Genomic DNA, 5,340 nt, shown 5'->3' with positions numbered 1-5,340 from the left:
TATACCCTTTTTCACCACAGGCCTCAAAGTGATCCAAAAGTCCACTTCCAGATTCCACAAAATGAGTGTTTCAAACCTGCTCCATGAAACGGAATGTTCAACTCTGTGACTTGAATGCTAACACGCCAAAGATGTTTCTGAGAATGCTTCTGTCTATATTTTGTATGAAGATATTCCCGTTTCCAACAAAATCCTCAAAGCTTTCCAAATATCCACATGCAGATTCTACAAAAAGAGTGTTTCAAAACAGCTCTAAGAAAAGAAAGGTTCAGCTCTGTTAGTTAGGCACACACATCACAAACTAGTTTATGAGAATGCTTCTGTCTAGTTTTCATTAGAAGATATTCCCTTTTTCACCTTAGGCCTCAATGCGATCCAAATATCCACTTCCAGATTCCACAAAAAGAGTGTTTCAAACCTGCTCCATGAAAGGGAATGTTCAACTCTGTGACTTGAATGCAAACATCCCAAGGATGTTTCTCAGAATGCTTCTGTCTAGATTTTATATGAAGATATGCCCCTTTCCAACGAAGTCCTCAAAGCTATCCAAATATCCCCTTGCAGACTCTACCAAAAGACTCTTTCAAGAGTGCTCTCTCAAAAGAAAGGTTCAACCCTGTTAGTTGAGTACACGCATCACAAACTGGTTTCTGAGAATGATTCTGCCTAGTTTATATGGGAAGATATTTCCTTTTTCACAATAGGTCACAAAGCACTCCAAATGTCCAGTTCCATATACTACAAAATCTTGTGTTCACACCTGCTCTATGAAAGGGAATGTTCAACTCTGGGACTTGAATGCAATCCTCACAGAGTTTTTTCTGAGAATGCCTCTGTCGAGGTTTTATATGGACATATTCCTGTTTCCAACGAAATCCTCTAAGCTATCCAAATATCCATTTGCAGATTCTACAAAAAGAGTGTTTCAAAACTGCTCTATGACAAGAAAGATTCAACTCTGTTAGTTGAGTGCACACATTCCAAACTAGTTTTGAAGACTGCTTCTGTCTAGTTTTTAGGTGAAGATATTTCCTTTTTCACCATAGACCTAAAAGAGATCTAAATGTCCATTTCCAGATACTACAAAAAGAATGTTTCAAAGCTGCTCTATGAAAGGGAATGTTCAACTCTCTGACTTCCATGCAAACATCACAAAGGTGATTCTGCAAATGCTTCTGTCTAGATTTTATATGAAGATATTCCCTTTTCCAAGGAAATCCTCAAAGCTATCCAAATATCCACCTGCAGATTCTACAAAAAGAGTGTTTCAAAACTGCTCTATCAAAAGAAAGGTTCAACTCTGTTAGTTGAGTAAACACATCACAACGTTTCTGAGAATGCTTCTGTGTAGTTTTTGTGGCAAGATATTTCCTTTTTCACCTTACGCCTCAAAGCGATCACAATGTCCACTTCCAGATACTACAAAAAGAGTGCTTCAAACCTGCTCTATGATAAGGAATGTTGAACTCTCTGACTCAAATGCTAACATCCCAAAGAGGTTTCTGAGAATGCTTGTGTCTCTATTTCATAGGAAGATTTTCCCGTTTCCAACGAAATCCTCAAAGCTGTGCAAATATCCACATGCAAATTCTACAAAAAGAGTGTTTCAAAGCTGCTCTATCAAAAGAAAGGTTTAACTCTGTTAGTTGAGCAAACATATCACAAACTAGTTTATGAGAATACTTCTGTCTACTTTTTATGCGAAGATATTCACTTTTTCACCACAGGCCTCAAAGCGATCCAAAATTCCACTTCCAGATTCCCCAAAAAGAGTGTTTCAAACCTGCTCTATGAAAGGGAACGTTCAACTCTGTGACTTGAATGCTAACACCCCAAAGATGTTTCTGAGAATGCTTCTCTCTAGGTTTTATATGAAGATATTCCCGTTTCCAAGGAAATCCGCAAAGCTTTCCAAATCTCCACCTGCAGATTCTACAAAAAGAGTGTTTCAAAACTGCTCTATGAAAAGAAAGGTTCAGCTCTGTTAGCTAAGCACACACATCACAAACTAGTTTATGAGAATGCTTCTTTCTAGTTTTTATTCGAAGATGTTCCCTTTTTCACCATTGGCCTCAATGCGATGCAAATGTCCACTTCCAGATTCCACAAAAAGATTGTTTCAAACCTGCTCCATGAAGGGGAATGTTCAACTCTGTGACGTGAATGCAAACATCCCAAAGATGTTTCTGAGAATGCTTCTGCCTAGATTTTAGATGAAGATATACCCGTTTCCAACGAAGTCCTCAAAGCTATCCAAATACCCCCTTGCAGAGTCTACAAAAAGAGTGTTTCAAGAGTGCTCTCTCAAAAGACAGGTTCAACCCTGTTAGTTGAGTACACACATCACAAACTGGTTTCTGAGAATGCTTCTGCCTAGTTTATATGGGAAGATATTTCCTTTTTCACAATACGTCACAAAGCACTCCAAATGTCCAGTTCCATATACTACAAAATCTTGTGTTCACACCTCCTCTATGAAAGGGAATGTTCAACTCTGGGACTTGAATGCAATCCTCACAGAGTTTTTCCTGAGAATGCTTCTGTCTATGTTTTATATGGACATATTCCCGTTTCCAACGAAGTCCTCTAAGCTATCCAAATATCCACTTGCAGATTCTACAAAAAGAGTGTTTCAAAACTGCTCTATCAAAAGAAAGATTCAACTCTGTTAGTTGAGTACACACATTCCAAACAAGTTTTGGAGACTGCTTCCATCTAGTTTTTATGCGAAGATATTTCCTTTTTCACCATAGACCACAAAGAGATATAAATGTTCATTTCCAGATACTACAAAAAGAATGTTTCAAAGCTGCTCTATGAAAGGGAATGTTCAACTCTCTGACTTCCATGCAAACATCAAAAAGTTGATTCTACGAATGCTTGTGTATAGATTTTATATGAAGATATTCGCTTTTCCAAGGAAATCCTCAAAGCTGTCCAAATATCCACCTGCAGATTCTACAAAAAGAGTGTTTCAAAACTGCTCCATCGAAAGAAACATTCAACACTTTTAGTTGAGTAAACACATCACAACGTAGTTTCTGAGAATGCTTCTGTGTAGTTTTTGTGGCGAGATATTTCCTTTTTCACCTTAGGCCACAAAGCGATCAAAATGTCCACTTCCAGATACTACAAACAGAGTGCTTCAAACCTGCTCTTTGATAAGGAATGTTGAACTCTCTGACTCAAATGCTAACATCCCAAAGTGGTTTCTGAGAATGCTTGTGTCTCTATTTCATAGGAAGATTTTCCCGTTTCCAACGAATTCCTCAAAACTGTCCAAATATCCATATGCAAATACTACAAAAAGAGTGTTTCAAAACTGCTCTATCAAAAGAAAGGTTTAACTCCGTTAGCTGAGCAAACACATCACAAAGTACTTTATGAGAATACTTCTGTCTAGTTTTTATGCGAAGATATACACTTTTTCACCACAGGCCTCAAAGTGATCCAAAAGTCCACTTCCAGATTCCACAAAATGAGTGTTTCAAACCTGCTCCATGAAACGGAATGTTCAACTCTGTGACTTGAATGCTAACACGCCAAAGATGTTTCTGAGAATGCTTCTGTCTAGGTTTTATATGAAGATATTCCCGTTTCCAACAAAATCCTCAAAGCTTTCCAAATATCCACATGCAGATTCTACAAAAAGAGTGTTTCAAAACAGCTCTATGAAAAGAAAGTTTCAGCTCTGTTAGTTAGGCACACACATCACAAACTAGTTTATGAGAACGCTTCTGTCTAGTTTTAATTAGAAGATATTCCCTTTTTCACCTTAGGCCTCAATGCGATCCAAATATCCACTTCCAGATTCCACAAAAAGAGTGTTTCAAACCTGCTCCATGAAAGGGAATGTTCAACTCTGTGACTTGAATGCAAACATCCCAAGGATGTTTCTGAGAATGCTTCTGTCTAGATTTTATATGAAGATATGCCCCTTTCCAACGAAGTCCTCAAAGCTATCCAAATATCCTCTTGCAGACTCTACAAAAAGACTCTTTCAAGAGTGCTCTCTCAAAAGAAAGGTTCAACCCTGTTAGTTGAGTACACACATCACAAACTGGTTTCTGAGAATGATTCTGCCTAGTTTATATGGGAAGATATTTCCTTTTTCACAATAGGTCACAAAGCACTCCAAATGTCCAGTTCCATATACTACAAAATCTTGTGTTCACACCTGCTCTATGAAAGGGAATGTTCAACTCTGGGACTTGAATGCAATCCTCACAGATTTCTTTCTGAGAATGCCTCTGTTGAGGTTTTATATGGACATATTCCTGTTTCCAACGAAATCCTCTAAGCTATCCAAATATCCATTTGCAGATTCTACAAAAAGAGTGTTTCAAAACTGCTCTATGAGAAGAAAGATTCAACTCTGTTAATTGAGTGCACACATTCCAAACTAGTTTTGAAGACTGCTTCCATCTAGTTTTTAGGTGAAGATATTTCCTTTTTCACCATAGACCTCAAAGAGATCTAAATGTCCATTTCCAGATACAACAAAAAGAGTGTTTCAAAGCTGCTCTATGAAAGGGAATGTTCAACTCTCTGACTTCCATGCAAACATCACAAAGGTGATTCTGCAAATGCTTCTGTCTAGATTTTATATGAAGACATTCCCTTTTCCAAGGAAATCCTCAAAGCTATCCAAATATCCACCTGCAGATTCTACAAAAAGAGTGTTTCAAAACTGCTCTATCAAAAGAAAGGTTCAACTCTGTTAGTTGAGTAAACACATCACAACGTAGTTTCTGAGAATGCTTCTGTGTAGTTTTTGTGGCAAGATATTTCCTTTTTCACCTTACGCCTCAAAGCGATCACAATGTCCACTTCCAGATACTACAAAAAGAGTGCTTCAAACCTGCTCTTTGATAAGGAATGTTGAACTCTCTGACTCAAATGCTAACATCCCAAAGAGGTTTCTGAGAATGCTTGTGTCTCTATTTCATAGGAAGATTTTCCCGTTTCCAACGAAATCCTCAAAGCTGTCCAAATGTCCACATGCAAATTCTACAAAAAGAGTGTTTCAAAGCTGCTCTATCAAAAGAAAGGTTTAACTCTGTTGGTTGAGCAAAAAAATCACAAGCTAGTTTATGAGTATACTTCTGTCTAGTTTTTATGCGAAGATATACCCTTTTTCACCACAGGCCTCAAAGCGATCCAAAAGTCCACTTCCAGATTCCAAAAAATGAGTGTTTCAAACCTGCTCTGTGAAAAGGAACGTTTAACTCTGTGACTTGAATGCTAACACCGCAAAGATGTTTCTGAGAATGCTTCTGTCTAGGTTTTATATGAAGATATTCCCGTTTCCAAGGAAATCCGCAAAGCTTTCCAAATCTC

This window comes from Homo sapiens, chromosome 2, assembly GCF_000001405.40.
Source record: "Homo sapiens chromosome 2, GRCh38.p14 Primary Assembly".
Classification (NCBI taxonomy): domain Eukaryota; kingdom Metazoa; phylum Chordata; class Mammalia; order Primates; family Hominidae; genus Homo; species Homo sapiens.
This window is presented reverse-complemented; position numbering follows the sequence as displayed.